This window comes from Homo sapiens, chromosome 1, assembly GCF_000001405.40.
Source record: "Homo sapiens chromosome 1, GRCh38.p14 Primary Assembly".
Lineage (NCBI taxonomy): Eukaryota > Metazoa > Chordata > Mammalia > Primates > Hominidae > Homo > Homo sapiens.
In genome coordinates, this window is record NC_000001.11 from 97,263,810 (window position 1) to 97,280,405 (window position 16,596).

Consider the following 16,596-nt stretch of genomic DNA (forward strand, 5'->3'; position numbering starts at 1 on the left):
GGTATGGTGAGATTCTGACCAAAATATTTCCAAAACAAACAAAATAAACCCTACCACCACAACAAAAACATGTTAAACACATACTTCAGATAATTGAAAAATTACCCCCTTCATTTGATGATCAAAATTTTAATATATGTCAAGTACTTATAACATGGCTGAAAATAGCCCTTGATATTATCTTTTTTCTTTTATCTATTTTTTTCTAAAATAATGACTAAAGATAAAATCAGATCAATGCTGCAACAATGAGAATCAGGCTGAAATGGAAGAGCCAGATCATGATCTAGATTCTTTTGGTTACCTACAGATAGCTATGACTGCCAATTCTGAATCTTAATAGCAAAATTCTGTTTTTTTTTTTTTTTTTTTTTTTTTTTTTTTGGACAAAGTCTTACTCTGTTGCCCAGGCTGAAGTGCAGAACTCATTGCAGCCTCAAATTCTTGGGCTCAAGCGATCTTCCTGCCTCACCCTCTCAAATAGCTGGGATTATAGGCACACGCCACCATGCCTGGCTAGTATTTTTTTGTTTTATGTTTTTTGTTTCTAATTTTTAGTAGAGATGAGGTCTTGCCATGTTGCCCAGGCTGGTCTTGAACTCCTGAGCTCAAGCAATCCTCCCTGCTTGGTCTCCCAAAGTGTTGGAATTACAGGTGTGAGCCAACCCTTCTCTTCCCACTTTATACATTTCTGAATTGAAAATTCCAGTGATTTGTCGAAACAATACCGTTTCCATTAATCATATTTGTTTTACTAAGCTAAGACAAATGCATAAGCCACATCCCTAAATCCTATTTTAACTTTTACACAGTAATAAATTTTTCCATCATTGTCCCTAACTTAAGCTTCCTAAATGTCAGCTGATCTTCACAATTACCATATTTTATAGATAATAAATTGTGCTCAGATGGATCAAAACAGCACAATTCAACACCACAAGGCAAAGCTAATTTATATTTAAATTGGGACTCGAACCTGGGTCTGCTGACTACAACCTTTTTGCTGTCTTTATCCACACATCAGATATTTCTTGATCAAGGCAAAGCTTAAATATAAAACCACTATGACTTCGAGACCTGAAAGTGTTTTTGTTTTCAGAGAAATGTTATTCCTCAGCATGTGTCAAAGATATGGTTATGAGAAAGACAAAACTTTATAGTTTTCAGTTATATTTTGCCTTGTCCCTTCAATTTTACCCCAATAGATAGTAATAGCAAGACTGTCCCGTTCATCCGTGGACAGTGCCATTATTAGATACTGGGAATCCTCGTTATAAATTACATCATACCACTTTCACCTTGTTTATCAGACTCCTGCCTCACTGATACTTGTTGTTTCTTAAATTCCCAAGCTCATGGTAGTAGGTCCTTTGCATGACCTTTTCCCTCTTCTTGGTGTTCTAAATCCATATTATTGCATGATTGGCACTGTTCATACAAGTCTTAGCCCAAATGTCATTTCTCAAAGACATCTTCTCTGACCCCTAATCTAAAGTCCCATCTCTTTTTCTATCACAATTATACCACCTAGTTTTGCTATTTTCATAACAGTTAGAGGTATTTGAGATTATTCTTATGTATTTTTTATTCTCTCCTCCCCACAGCAATCCCTGCTTCCTGTCTGCTCAATGCTCTACGCTCAGAATTTAGAACAGCACCTGGCATATGGTAGGCTCTTTTACAAATATATGTTTAATGGATAAATAATTGAATCAGAGCATTTTAACATCTAGATGTAATATATCCTACAAGAATTGTTTTAAGAATAACATTTGTCTTTATCAGTCCCACCTGTGGGAGTTTGAATGTGGTAGAATTTGTGTCATTGTGATGTACAAAAAATCTTATTATCTGTTTTTTATTATGTAGTGTATAGTTTTTATATCACTACTGTTTGAGATAAATGTGACCTTTTAATCTTCTTATTAAACTTTTAAATACAATTTTTTCTTTAATCATTCCAGGTCTCTGACTAACATGCTCAATTTCAAACATGTACTCTATCTACTCATAAGTTAGAAAATTTTGATACTCTCTACTTAGATGACTAAGTTTCTAAGAAAACCCCATCACTCTATTTTGGTCTAAATTTGATTCCTTTACTCAGAAGTTTACAAATTAAACTTTCTATATGAGATGCATTCTACAGCATTTTAATTGGTAAATACATTGTGCTTTAAGTAAAGGTAAAAATTACTTTTAAAGTCACATGAATTTAGACAAATAGTACTACACAATAAAGTTACTGCTGATCACCAGGTTTTTTAGCTAATAGGGACATCTAGAAATAAATAAACTTAATCTAAGTTTCACAATAATTAGCTCATAATATTTTTAGTAGAATATGAATTTCAGGGATATCCTGTGTTATAAAATCTGTGTCATTTGTTCCTTTGAGTTCAGAAGGGTATTAATAAATGCCCCTAGGCAGCAGTATCCAATTGGCTTAGCATATCAAGGGAGAATACTAACTAGAGAATGAAAAATAGCACATTAGTGTTCAGAATGCTCATCTATTAAGAGAAGATACGTCTGCACCATGGAGAGAGGGTACAAGGACATCAAGACAAAATCTAGGAGTGCTATCTAATATCAATTAAACAAATCATTGCTGTGTCCTGCAGTTCAGGGTTCTGCATCTTTGGTGTCTTAATCTGCTGTATGCTGCTATAACAGAATACTATAGACTGGGTAATTTGTAATGAACAGATATTCATTTCTTTTTTTATTATTATTATACGTTAAGTTCTAGGGTACATGTGCACAACGGGCAGGTTTGTTACATAGGTATACATGTGCCATGTTGGTTTGCTGCACCCATTAACTCGTCATTTACATTAAGTATTTCTCCTAATGCTATCCCTCCCCCTGCCCCCCACCTCATGACAGGCCCCAGTGTCTGATGTTCTCTGCCCTGTGTCCAAGTGTTCTCATCGTTCAATTCCTACCTATGAGTGAGAACATGGGGTGTTTGGTTTTTTGGCCTTGTGATAATTTGCTCAGAATGATGACTTCCAGATTCATTCATGTCTCTGCAAAGGACATGAACTCATCCTTTTTTATAGCTGCATAGTATTCCACGGTGTATATGTGCCACATTTTCTTAATCCAGTCTATCATTGATAGACATTTGGGTTGGTTCCAAGTCTTTGCTATTGTGAACAGTGCTGCAATAAACATACAGGTGCATGTGTCTTTATAGTAACATGATTTGTAATCCTTTGGGTATATACCCCGTAATGGGATCACTGGGTCAAATGGTATTTCTAGTTCTAGATCCTTGAGGAATTGCCACACTGTCTTCCACAATGGTTGAACTAGTTTACACTCCCACCAACAGTGTAAAAGCGTTTCTATTTCTCCACATCCTCTCCAGCATCTGTTGTTTCCTGACTTTTTAATGACTGCCATTGTAACTGGTGTGAGATGGTATCTCATTGTGGTTTTTATTTGCATTTCTCTGATGACCAGTGATGATGAGCATTTTTTTCATGTGTCTGTTGGCTGCATAAATGTCTTCTTTTGAGAAGTGCCTGTTCATATCCTTTGCCCACTTTTTGATCAAGTGGAAGAAAGGGTATCAGTGATTGAAGATCAGATTCATTTCTTACAGTTTCAGATTGAAGATCAGATTCATTTTTTACAGTTCCAGAAGCTGGGAAATCCAAGGTCAAGGGGCCTGCATCTGGTGAGAGCCTTCCTGCTGTGTCATCCCACGGTGGAAGGCAGAATGGCACAGGCGCACACAAGAGAGAAAGAGATTGAACTGGCAGCCTCAAGCGCTTTTATAATGGGCATTAATCCATTCATGAGGGTGGAGCTTTATGGCTTATCACCTCTCAGGAATCACCCTCATGAATGGGCATTAATCCATTCATGAGGGTGGAGACTTATGGCCTAATCACCTCACACCTCTTATTGCTGTTGCATTGGGGATTAAGCTTCCAACAAATGCTTTTGGGGGACACATTCAAACCACAGCATTCCACCATGGTCCCTCAAAATCATGTCCTTCTCATATACAAAATATGTTCATTCCATCCCAATGGCTTTAACCCATTCCAGCACGAACTCCTAAGTCCAAAGTCCAGAGTGTCATGAAAGTCAGATATGGGGGAAACCCAAGGCACAATTCATCTTGAGGCAAATTCCCATCAGTCTGGGAAATCGAACAAGTTATCTACTTCCAAAAACACAATGGTGAGACAAGCATAGGATAGACATTCCCGTTCCAAAAGAAAGAAATAGGCAAGAAAAAAGGAGTAACTTGTTTCATGTAAGTCCAAACCACAAGAAGGGAACATTAAATTTTAAAGCTAGAGAATAATATGTTTTGACTCTATGTCCCACCTCCTGGACACACTGGGGCAGGGGTTGGGCCCCTAGGGATTGGGCAGCCCTGTTTATGGCTTTGATGGGTTCAGTACACTCAGCAGCTCTCACAATTTGGCGTCTTATGCCCGCAGTTCTCCTAGGCTACAGTTGCATGCTGGTGGCACCACAGTTCTGGGGTCCAGGGACTGCCTCACTCCCATGGCTCTACTAAGTAATGTCAAAGTGGGGATTCCCTGCAGTAGTCTCACTCCTGCACTCTGCTGTGCATTGCCCTAGTAATAGCTCTTTGCAGTGGCTCTGTGCCTATGACAAGTCTCTTCTTAGGGACCCAGGCTAACCGAGAGATCCTTTGAAATCTAGGTGGAGGGTGCCATGGCCCCAGAGCTCCTGTATTCTATATTCTTGAAGAATTAGCACTATGTGGACACTGTGAAGGTTTGCAGCTTATACCTTCTGGAGTGATGGATCAAGGTGCCCCTAGGATTGCTTGAGCCACTGCTGGGGAAGCTGAGGGTGATGGACAAAAATTCAGGGAACAAAGTCTCAAGATAGTGCAGGGCACCTAATGCTGAGGTCCGATATGAGCCCCTGTCTAGAAACCCTGCCTTCAATGTCCTACCTAACTTGCCTTGAAGATCTCAGAAATGCCTCCATGGTCATTCTCCCATAGTCTTGATGAATAAAACCTGGATTTCTTCTATCCATATTAATCTCTTTAGCAAACAGTCGCTTAGCCACACACTTAGTATTCCCTCCTGAACACATTCTTTTATTCTTTATGTGGCTAAGTTGAGAGTTTTTCAATGTTTTCTGTTCTGTTTCCCTTTTAATTATAAGTTCCATCTTTAAAACATTTCTCTCTCTCATTTTACTGTAAGCTGCCACCATATAGCACCTTGAATGCTTTGTTGCTTAGATATTTATCCTGCCAGATGTTGTTTAGATAGTTCTTCTTAAGTTCTGTCTTCCACGAAATCCTAGAACATAGACACAATTCTACCACATTTTTTTTTGCAACTGCACAAGGATAGCTTTTTACTCAAGTCTCCAATACCACATTCGTTATTTCCATCTGAAATCTTATCAGAATGCCCCTTACCATCCACATTTCTACAACATTCTGATTATGACCACCTAAGTAATCCCTAAGAAGATTTAGGCTCTCCCTGTAGCTCTTGTCTTCTTCTGAGCCCTCACCAGAATTGTCCTGAAAGCTCTATTCATGGAAACCTAGGCTTTTTCTAGCCTTCTCCTCCAAACTGTTCTAGCCTCTACCCGTTACCCAGTTCCAAAGTCATTTCCACATTTTCAGATATTTGTTATAGCAGCAGTCACACTTCTCGGTACCAATTTCCTGTCTTAGTCCATTTTATAGTGTTTTAACAGAATACCAAAGACTGGGTAATTTATAATGAACAGAGATTTATTTCTTATAGTTCCAAAGGCTGGGAAGTCGGTGGTTGAGGTGCTGGCTGATTCAGTTCCTGGTGAGGGCTCTCTTCCTAGCTTGGAGATGGCTGCTTTCTCACTGCGTCCTCACTCACATGGTAGAGAGAGAGCTCTGATATCTCTTCCTCTTCTTATAAAGTCACCAGCCCTATTGCATTAGGGACCCACCCTTATGACTTCATTTAACTTTCAGCACCTCTTCACAGGCTTTATCTCCAAATACAGTCACATTGGAGGTTAGGAGGTTAGGGCTTCAACATATGAACTTTGGAGGGAGGGGCACAATTCAGTACACAGCGCTCAATATCTTTCCAAGTAAATTACTTCATCAGCAAATTTATGATAAGATTTAATTGCCCAAATTCCCTCTGAAAAGCATATGAGATTATGTCACATCATTTGGCTCAAATGAAGAACTGTAAACTCTTCCATATTTCAGGTGCTTTTCGGAGGGACATAGGTTATAAGCACCACGAAGGCCTGGGGCCATGTATGTTTCCTTCATGCCATTCCAGCAGAGTGGCATATAGAAAGCACTCTATTTGTTAAAGGAAGAGAGGAGGCAAGAAAAGTAGTAAAGAAAGCAATAGAATCACTAACAATTTCCCATTAGGAGTCTAAATTCATAAACAACCGGAGAATGGGTTTAGTCTTCCCAAAGGAAAGATATATGGTCATCTTGCGGTTGAGAGGCATCATAATATTCCAGTAGAATGTGTATAGACTATAATTTTTTATTCTTCCCTACCCCAATCTGTGTTCTTGCAATATCTCAACCAAGTGCTGATATTTCTCATATTCAAGCTATTCCTTTGTGTTAAATCTAGAAAAATCTAATTAAAACACACACACATTTTCTGTGAAAGATCATTAACTACAACATTTACACCATTCCCCATTCATATGGACCTGTGCTCTAAAGGCTGTGAGAGGGTAAAACATGGGGCTGGTAAGCTCTGCTGCAAGTGTGGGGCCAGAAAATATTTCATATATAAACAATTGCTACATAAGGTAGAGTTTGGGAGAAAAATGTTTGTCTCAAATGAAGAAAGGTGCTGTGAACACTGGGAATTTGTCTGCTAAAAGAGGAAGTAAAAGTGAGAGGGACAAAGATAAACTTTGTCTGGTTATGTTCTTCAAGAGCCATCCTTGCCTATTTAAACAGTTTAAGGAGAAGTTAGTTATGTAAGTTCTCTCACAAACTCTTACATATTTCGAGCAAATTTATTCAGGAAGATTTCTGCTCTTAATACCTGCCTCTTTTATTCTTTCCCCAAGTGTTTATTGAGTGCCTACTACTACATACCAGGTACTTTGCTAATGCAAGATTTAAAAAATGACCAAGAGGACATTTCTGTGCTGAAAGAACTTGCAAACTGCTAAAAGAGAAATGCAGTAACCACACAAAATGATAAGTCCTTTGACAGAAACACACTGAAAGTATGTTTCCCATCAAAGGAAGCATCAAATTCAGCTAAAGAATTCATAGAGAAGGTTTGTTGGCACATTGAAGGAAGCTGGGATTTCCCCAGACAAGAGATAAGGCACGGAGTGTGGGGAGCATGGTGCATTAGAGAGTAGAACAGTTCCCTCTGACTGGAGCACAGCTGAGCCTGGGGGCAGGCAGGGAAAGCTAAGGATAGAAACGTTCTTAGGAATGAGCTTGTGGACATCATTAACAAGGATTTTGAAAATAAAAGAAAATTAAATGTAGTGTAGAGAATGGACAGAAGGGAGAGAAATAAAATAAAATCAGGAAGAAGTTAATTGCAGTATTCCCAGAGATAATCTTGTGGAATTAGACAAAAAGGACCAGCTCAGAAAAACTTTAAGCAAGTAGGTTCTTTGGGCTTTAGAGATCAATCAGATATGGCAATACTTATCAAAGCCTCACCTGTCCTCTTAGAAGAGGTAATGTGTACTGGAGGAAAAATTGTAATAAAGATCAAAGAGAGATTGCTATTTTAAATTCAACCTTTTTCAAGAAATCTGCATATTCTCCACATTCTGCCGATATTATATTTTGAAAACCCCATAAAAGCATGTTTTGCTAATGCAGATTAAAAGAAATTACTAGGGCATAAATATATAGATCATTTTCAATTTAGTCCCTACTCACTACTGTTTTGTACCTTACCACATCCTCAAATAGCTGCATTCTCCTTTCTCCCACTTGGTGAACTATTGAATCACAATATCCAAATGGAAGGACTTCCACACTTTGAATAATTGATCTCAAGCATGTTCCCTGATGATTTGACATTCACTCTGTTCTTCTCCCTGAAGTATATTTATATCAATAACTGCAGCTTCAGTTGCCCTTATATCACAGTGTTCCTTTTTAAGAGCAAACTGATACCGTAAGTAATTGCTAGCCTCTTTCTGAAAAATTTTATTCTTTCTGCAATTTGAACTTAGAGCAACAGACTTTGTCAAAGGCAAACCAGCACATTTTTCTCTTTTAAAAACACAAGTTTTGAACGCCTGTGAAAGGTCTCCATTCAATTTGACACTCAGCCAAGTCCTAGGAAAATAAAACTCACAGTCTTGTTTACTTTTTCTCTACTTTTTCTCCAACTTCCTCTATATTTTAAAACATATTTTCTGGCCTCATGAATAAAAACAAACAAAAATGTGGCAGAGAGCACAAGCATGAAAGTTAAATTTCAGAATGGGCTACATTTAGCTATTCTGTTGCTTCTAGTCTGACTCTTTATTTGCACAGCAATTAATCAGCTATGGTATGTCTTTTAACTGAGTAAACGATCATCAACCTCTCCTAAACATGTTAAGAAGTTCATTTCCGTCTGAATTGTCCTGACAAATACTAAAATAGATAACCTTAATAAGGCACTAATGAGATCATTATAACTAGTTTTGTCTGTATTTAAAGTACAGATTTAAGATCTTCATTAATGATTAACTACTGGAAAACTTTGTTCAATCCCTTGAGTTATTTTTAATCTCTATATACTATAATTACATATATTCAATCATAAAACTTTCCATGGTGCTGAACACAATTGAACTTTGAATAAGAACAAGTACGTTACACATCTTGGCTGTTTAAAAAGGTTAATCTTTAAGTAGATTAATGACATAGTGATCTTCACTCAGTTCAAGCTTTTTTTCTTTTTGACTGAGGAAAAGATACGTTACTACAAGCTATTTCATATCTTTCTGATGGAACTTACATGAATGACTGCTTTAGAATATTGAACAATCAGAACCCTGAACTTTCTATTATAAGGTGTCTCTGAGATCAGATAAGTAGGATGTGGCCTATCACTGGTCTTTATTTTCAGTTGTGCTAAAATGAAACAAGTGTGTTTTCTCCCGTCAGTTTCAGAGGAGAGTGGATATTAAATGTTAAATCACATTTAAGCTGAAGTCAATGTACAAAACTTTCAACCCTAAAGTTGCCTAAGGGAATCAGAAATAAGGGCATTTTACGGGTGTTACTATAAAATTAAAGAGGAGACAGAAATGTGGGATGTTTCCTTTCATTAAATGCCAAATAGTTATTTCAAACAACTTGTAGATGACTGTATTTTAATGTTATGACATACAATTTTCAAAATTAAATGTGTTTTAAGTCAAATTTGCTAATAGTATCCAGCAAAAAGATAAATTTTAGAAACATAATTCTCTAACTGTTCAGGCCTTTCAAAATATAGTTTGCCATGGGCCCAACAAGGCCAAGGGTGAAACGCAATATTTTCTGATCCTAAAATCTTTGCAAAAAAGGAATGCAGAAAATCAATGCAGAATTATATAAAATATGTTTGAGGCACAGACTAGCTCTTCATCTATACTCCAACTAAACTACTCCCTCTCACAAGATACCACTTTTTAATATAGTACAATTACCTCCATACTGACTGCAAAATGGCAGTTAAACCTTTAAAGTGTAAATCTTTGCTTTTGTGTGTTTACCTGTCATGGACTTTAAACAGTGTGGAGAGAGGACTAAGGAAGGTGGTAAGCTATTTATAAATTGGAAAGTCTTTTTGCATTTATCTAGGAATATAGACATTGTCAATATGTGATTGAATTACTGCACCAGTTTTCCTGGAGGATTTGTATGTTTATTGCTTTTTTGTAAGACATTTATCCAGCTCTCTCAATCCTGTTCTCTTTCTTGCATGAGTTCACACATATTAAAATGCAAGTGTCTTGCTTGTCTGATATGTCTTTTGCATTATTTGAAACCCTGAAGCCCCAATATTTCTTGATATCTGTACAATTCTGAAACAAAATTATTTAGTAATAATATTCCAGGGATAAGGCAATAATGAAATGTATATGCAACAAAAAGTTCACAAGCCATCATTTCAATTTTCCTCTTGAATTTTCAGGGTAAAGTTGAAGGAAACATTTACTTTTGAAGAAAGAACAAAACTCTAAATTATTATCATCACAGCCTGTGAATTATTCTTTGATGCCTATTGTGCTAAATAGGAGATTTTATACAACATAAAGTTAAGGCAATATTTACTTTAGCAGCTTACATTTTAAAGAATAAAAACGAGAAAATAAATATGAATTTGGATATATACATCTAAATTCAAGGAACCTAGAACATGATATGGTTTGTATATTTGTCCCCTCCAAATCTCAGGTTGAAATGTAATCCCCGCTGTCAGAGGTGGGGCCCAGTGGGTTATATTTGGGCCATGGGGGCAGATCTCTCATGAAGGGTGTGGTACCATCCCTGTGGTAATGCATGAGTTCTAGCAATCTATTATTTCACACCTGAGCCGCTTGTTTAAAAGAGCCTGGCATCTCTCTTGTGCCCTCTCTTGCCATGTGACACATCTGATCTGCTCTCCCTTTGTTTTCCCCGATGATCAGAAGCTTCCTGAGGTCCTCACTAGAAGCAGATGCCAGCACTATGCTTCTTGTAGAGTCTGCAGAACCTGGAAACAATTAAACCTCTTTTCTTTATAAATTACCCAGCCTTGGGTATTCCTTTATAGCAAGGCGAAATGGACTAATACAAAATAATATGAACCAAAGTACAAATACTCATTCATGATGATAAAGCAGAAACCAGCATTTACTATTAGGTTGGTGCAAATGTAACTGCAGTTTCTGCCATTACTTTCAATGGCAAAACGCGCAATTACTTTTGCACCAACATAATATGTTCTATTACACAGGAAGTTGCTCCAGGTTGTCAAAAAGTGATCAGTGCTGGTTGGTAACCATTGTATCCTAGTGTGTGGGTCTAGGGATCAGTTATATGCCAGGCAAGTCTCTGATCCCCTGAAGTTCACAGATAAGAAATTATATGTAGAATATGATATAAACACGAGAGAGATGCACAGGATGCATAAGATGCATGGAATCAGGGGTAAGGGCTTCTAAAGTAGTTTGGGGAGTGTAAGGAAAATATTGGACTGAGAAGCTGGTTCTAAGGGTAGAAATGCCTCTGTGTCTAAGGTAGCAGTATGCTTGTAGGTACCATAGGTATAGAAGCAAGAGCAACCTTGGCATTAGGTAAAAGTGTGAGTAGCTCAGTATGGTTGATTATGGCCTGGGGCAGTGGCAGGGGATGGCAACAGAAAAGGCTGGAGATGTAAGCTGGGACAAAATCATCCAGAGCATGGAATACCATGACTAGGTAACTTTTATCCTGGAATCATATTCTTTCTTCAAGTTTTAGTTAAAATGTTATCTCTCCCACAAAGTCTTCCCTGATCCTTCCAGTAAGAAGTGATCACTCCCCCATGGAGCTCCTACAGATCTTTGTTTGAATTGCTCCTTTGACAGGTACCAAATTTTCTACTGCAATAGGTAATGGAGTGAAAAGTATAAGAATCTAGGATTCAGAGGGCAAGAGGTTCTACTCCCAATTTTGTCACTTTGCAGTGGTCTATTTGCCTTTGGGCAGATCTGTTCACCTTATTTTCCTTTACCTGTAAACTCTGCGTAATAGTAGTTACAAACATTTGTCATTCAGGGTTATTATGAGTATGTGAAAGTGGCTTTAGAAATTTTGAAATTTCTAAAAATTGAGGTGTTTGAATATATGTCATCTATTTCCTATAAGAATGCACACACCTTAAAGGGAGCAAGATTTAGATTCTAGAAGAGGTGGATAATAGTTTGCCAATTATTTATAAGCCTAAAACCTTGAAGATTAATTTATCTCAATCCTTCCTCTTTCCAGGAAATCTTCCTTCAGTTCTTTTCCATGATAAGTCAGCTTCCTGTTAGCTTCCTCTCTCCTTGAGGCATAGACATGTGCATAGCTATCTCACTGCACATGGCTTATCATGCCTTCTCCTGATCTTCTTCCTCTCAGCTTCTTTTGCTGGATCTTCTTACTCTTCCTGTTCATAAAATGCTAAAATAGCCATTGGACCTCTTTTTTTTCTTTATCTGTATGCATTTCTTAGTTTATCTCAACAGGTTCCACAACTTTTTATAACATGTTTATGGCATGAAGGTTCAATTTATGTATTCAGTTCTTTCTTCTCCTTGAACTTCAGGGTCAAATATCTAACTAGTTAATCTATATCTTCATTTGGATGTCTGATAAGATGTCTTAAGTTCAACATATCCAAAAAGAACTATTCTTTCCCAAGGCTGATGTCCAGAATGGTGTTTCCTAGGTTTTCTTCTAGGACTCTTAATGGTCTTATATTTAAATCTTATGACTAAGTTCTCAAAAGCAATTGCAACAACAACAAAAATTGACAAGTGTGACCTAAGTAAACTAAATAGCTTCAGCACAGCAAAAGAAATTACCAACAGCTTAAACAGAGAGCCTACAGAATGGGAGGAAATATTTGCAAACTATGCGTCCAACAAAAGTCTAATATCCAGAATCTATAAGAAACTTAAACAAGTCAACCAGCAAAACATAAATAACTCCATTAAAAAGCTGGCAAAAGACATGAACAGGCACTTCTCAAAAGAAGACATACAAGTGGGCAACAATGAAAAAATGAAAAAATGTTCAACATCATTAATCACCAGAGAAATGAAAATCAAAACCACAAAGGGTTACCATCTCACACCAGTCAGAATGGCTATTAAGAAGTCAACAAATGTGACACAGCAAGACTCTGTCTCAAAAAAAAAAAAAAAAAAGTCAACAAACAACAGATACTGGTGAGGTTGTGGAGAAAAGGGAATGCTTATACACTGTTGGTGAGAATGTAAATTAGTTCAGCCACTGTGGAAAGCAGTTTGGAGATTTCTCAAAGAACTTAAAACAGAACCAGCATTTAATGCAGCAATCTCATTACTGGGTATATATCCAAAGGGAAATAAATTGTTCTACCAAAAAGACACATGTGCTTGTATGTTCATCACAGCACTATTCACCATAGCAAAGACACGGAAACAACCCAGGTGCCCATCAATGGTGAACTGAATAAAGAAAATCTGGTACATACACACCATGGAATACTATGCAGCCATAAAAAAGAATAAGATCATGTCTTTTGAAGCAACCTGGATGCATCTGGAGGCCATTATCCTAAGTGAATTAACGCAGGAACAGAAAACCAAATACTGTATATTCTCGTTTATAAGTGGGAGCTAAACACTGGGTATACATGGACATATAGATGGGAACAACAGACACTTGGGACTACCAGAGAAAGGGAGGAAGGAAAGGAGGTAAGGGTTGAAAAACAACTCACTGGGTACTAAGCTCACTACCTGGGTGACAGGATCATTCATATCCCAAACCCCAGCATCACACAAATTACCCATGTAACAGACCTGCACGTGTACCCTTGAATCTAAAATGAGAGTTGAAATTAAAAAAAAAAAGAGAACACAAAAAACACAAAACAAACAAATAAACAAACAAACAAAATGCCCCTCAAATCAGAAATGAACTATTGATCCTCCTCCCTTACTCTTTTGCCATAAAGCTGTTCTCCAGAGTTTACTTAAAATGGCACTACTGTTTGTTCACATGCTCAGCCCAAACTATTTGAAGTTATTTATAATTCCCTTTCCTCTTGTATCACACATTCAACCCATCAGTTAATCCCATTGACCTTCTCTAAAACATATTCTGAACACAACATTCTCCCTCCTCCAATTCCTCCATTGCTACTACACTGGTCTAAACCACAACTGTCTCTTGCTTAGATTCCTGAATTAGCTTTAAAAATAATTGCCCTGTCCCCATTCTTATGCTGTATAGTCTGTCTGCTACACAACAGCCATGGTGCCCATTTATTTAGAAATTGAAATTAGATCATATAACTACCTTAACAATTAGAATAAATCCCAAAATCCATGCAGGGCCTACATGATCTCTGGTTAGTCCTCCAATCTCATTGTCAACTATTCACTCTCCTATTCAACTTACTTCACACCATGCATCCTTATTGCTGTTTCTGAGCATTCTACTATATTTAGCCCTTTGTCTTTGGGATTTCTGATCTATTTATTTAGTTTGTGATTGCCTAGTTCACCTTATGTGACTAACTCTGACTAATGTGCCAGTGTTAAGTGTTTACTGTCAATTCATCTCATGACTCAGTCTGTTCCAGGAAATGCAAAGATTAAAAAGAATTTCTCTTGATTGCAGCTTAATATTTTCCTTATTCTAAAATGTTTCTTTCTGTCTTGAGCAATACCTAACTACTAGTAACTACCAGAAATGTTAGTGAAAGTTTGCCTACTCAGGGGCTTCATCTCATAAGAAAGTACCAGAAAAGCCAAAAGTAATGCGCCAGTCTATAACAAATCTGTGTTTTTGATAATCTAATTTTTAAAAGTTACATTTACTTTCTGACTGCCCCTTATCACATTACAGTTCAGGGCAGAACAACCAGAAACTACAGAAAGTAAATGGACAGGGAAAGAGATGTGCCATTGTTGTTGATAATGTGCCGGCACATGACTAAGCTGTGATAGTTCAATGTTTCTTAATGTTCTTAACTCAATGCCTAGATTTAAAAAGTCACAGATCAGAGCTGCAATTATGCCAAATACCTGGTGGTTTTATTAAACCCCCAAACAGATTTCCTGTTGTTGCTCCCCTCTAAAAGTTTCAAAATATGCAGAGAAAAATGAGGACAGCCAAATGAGGATAATCTGATGTGTACAGTTGAAAATAAAGCATCATTTAGGAAGAAACAAAGTTTTCTGTTATGTAGTAATGATGCAAAGGGCTAGAGAAATCTATAACCCTGAATTCTGACAGTGCAGATAATAATCTGTTTTTCTTGCACAATGAAATTTACTATCAGTGTATGAATTTTAACTGTGTGTAGATATATATGCACACTCTAACACATATATACATAAATATATATTACACTCTTACTAAGACAATGGTATTTCGTAAAAATTTTTTTTTTCCCACAGCTCTTTGCAGACACTAAACTTGAGCTTCTGAATGGCAGAAATTGACTTTTAAAATATATGACTTCTTAAAAAAATTCAACTTTGATTCTAGATTCAGGTGACGGACATGCAGATTTGTTCCATGAGTATATTGCATGATGCTGAAGTCTGTGATATGAATGATCCTGTCACCCAGGTAGTGAGCATAGTGGTGAATCTGTAAGACATTAGATTCTGATATTACAATTTCCAAGGGATTGTTTTTGAAATTACATTAAGCATACCCCATACTTTGTTTAAACATGGCAGATTCCCCACACATATATGAGAAGTTTTGGAAGATGAAAAGCAGATTGTAAAATGATAACTGACTTAGTAGAAAAAAAAGAACATTCAACATGTAGAACTCCCAAAAAGGCAGCTAAAGACAGGGTACTGGAGAGCACAGTTCAAGCAGGGAGGCACAGTGGGTGAAATGTGAAGACTGTCTGAAGATGGTATATAGAGCCAATTGGACCCCAGTTTCCATCACAACCCTGTGCAATCAGGTTTCTAGTGGTCCACTGGAGACAGAGATTTGTTTGTTTGTTTGTTTGTTTGTTTGTTTACTTGAGATGGAGTCTGGCTCTGTAACTCAGGCTGGAGTGCAGTGGTGCGATCTTGGGTCACCGCAACCTCCGCCTCCGGAGTTCGAGCGATTCTCCTGCCTCAGCCTCCGAGTAGCTGGGACAACAGGTGTGCATGACCATGCCTGGCTAATTTTTGTATTTTTAGTAGAGATGGGGTTTCACCATGTTGGCCAAGCTGGTCTCAAACTCCTCACCTTAGGTGATCCGCCCACCTCAGCCTCCCAAGGTGTTAGGATTACAGGCGTGAGACAGAAATTTATTTTTATAGAAGTGTACTAGAGATACTCCAGATATCAAAACTAGTGGAAGGCTGTAATTGAGACAGGAAACTGAAAGCAAGGAAATGAAATGAAAGTCTGCATATTGAAAGCTGGGACTACCATTCATCCACTGATCCCTTTTTTACAGAAAGGCACATTGCTTTCATGACGGAGATCTGAGGATCCTTCTAAGAAATTGTTTATCCCCAGAGAAAAGACCTGAAGATACTCACATTTGTCAGCCACAGTAAAAGGAAGAGCTTACCACTCAATCTCCTCTGCAATAAAGCTCCCTAGCTGTTAAATTTCACTCACATACTCAAGGCTTCCAATCAACTTTTTAATATCTCACACTTAAAAACTAAATTGAGGATGTCTTGAATCTCCAGACATTTCAGAAGTCTTTTTTTTTACATGAACTAGAGAAACCAAAACAAATAATCAAAATAAATAAATGAATAATGAGGCAGAAGATATAGAGATTTATATACGCATTGAAGGGAAACTGTAAGAAAAAAACCAAACATAGCTAACATCTTCAGAGACAGTACAGAATGAACTGCATCCAAAAGATAATGCAATCAAGAAGAAACCACCAA

At 37.4% G+C, this 16,596-nt stretch overlaps 1 protein-coding gene and 1 long non-coding RNA gene across 7 annotated transcripts in view; one reads left to right on the forward strand and one right to left on the reverse strand.

The window, feature by feature from the left end:
• DPYD (dihydropyrimidine dehydrogenase) overlaps positions 1–16,596 on the reverse strand; it is an 843,317-nt gene that overhangs the window by 186,067 nt on the left and 640,654 nt on the right. The window lies entirely within an intron of this gene.
• DPYD-AS1 (DPYD antisense RNA 1) overlaps positions 1–16,596 on the forward strand; it is a 227,033-nt gene that overhangs the window by 167,887 nt on the left and 42,550 nt on the right. Inside the window, exon 2 of the long non-coding RNA NR_046590.1 lies at positions 1,605–1,668. This is a non-coding gene — a long non-coding RNA (DPYD antisense RNA 1). The remainder of the gene's footprint in view (positions 1–1,604; positions 1,669–16,596) is intronic.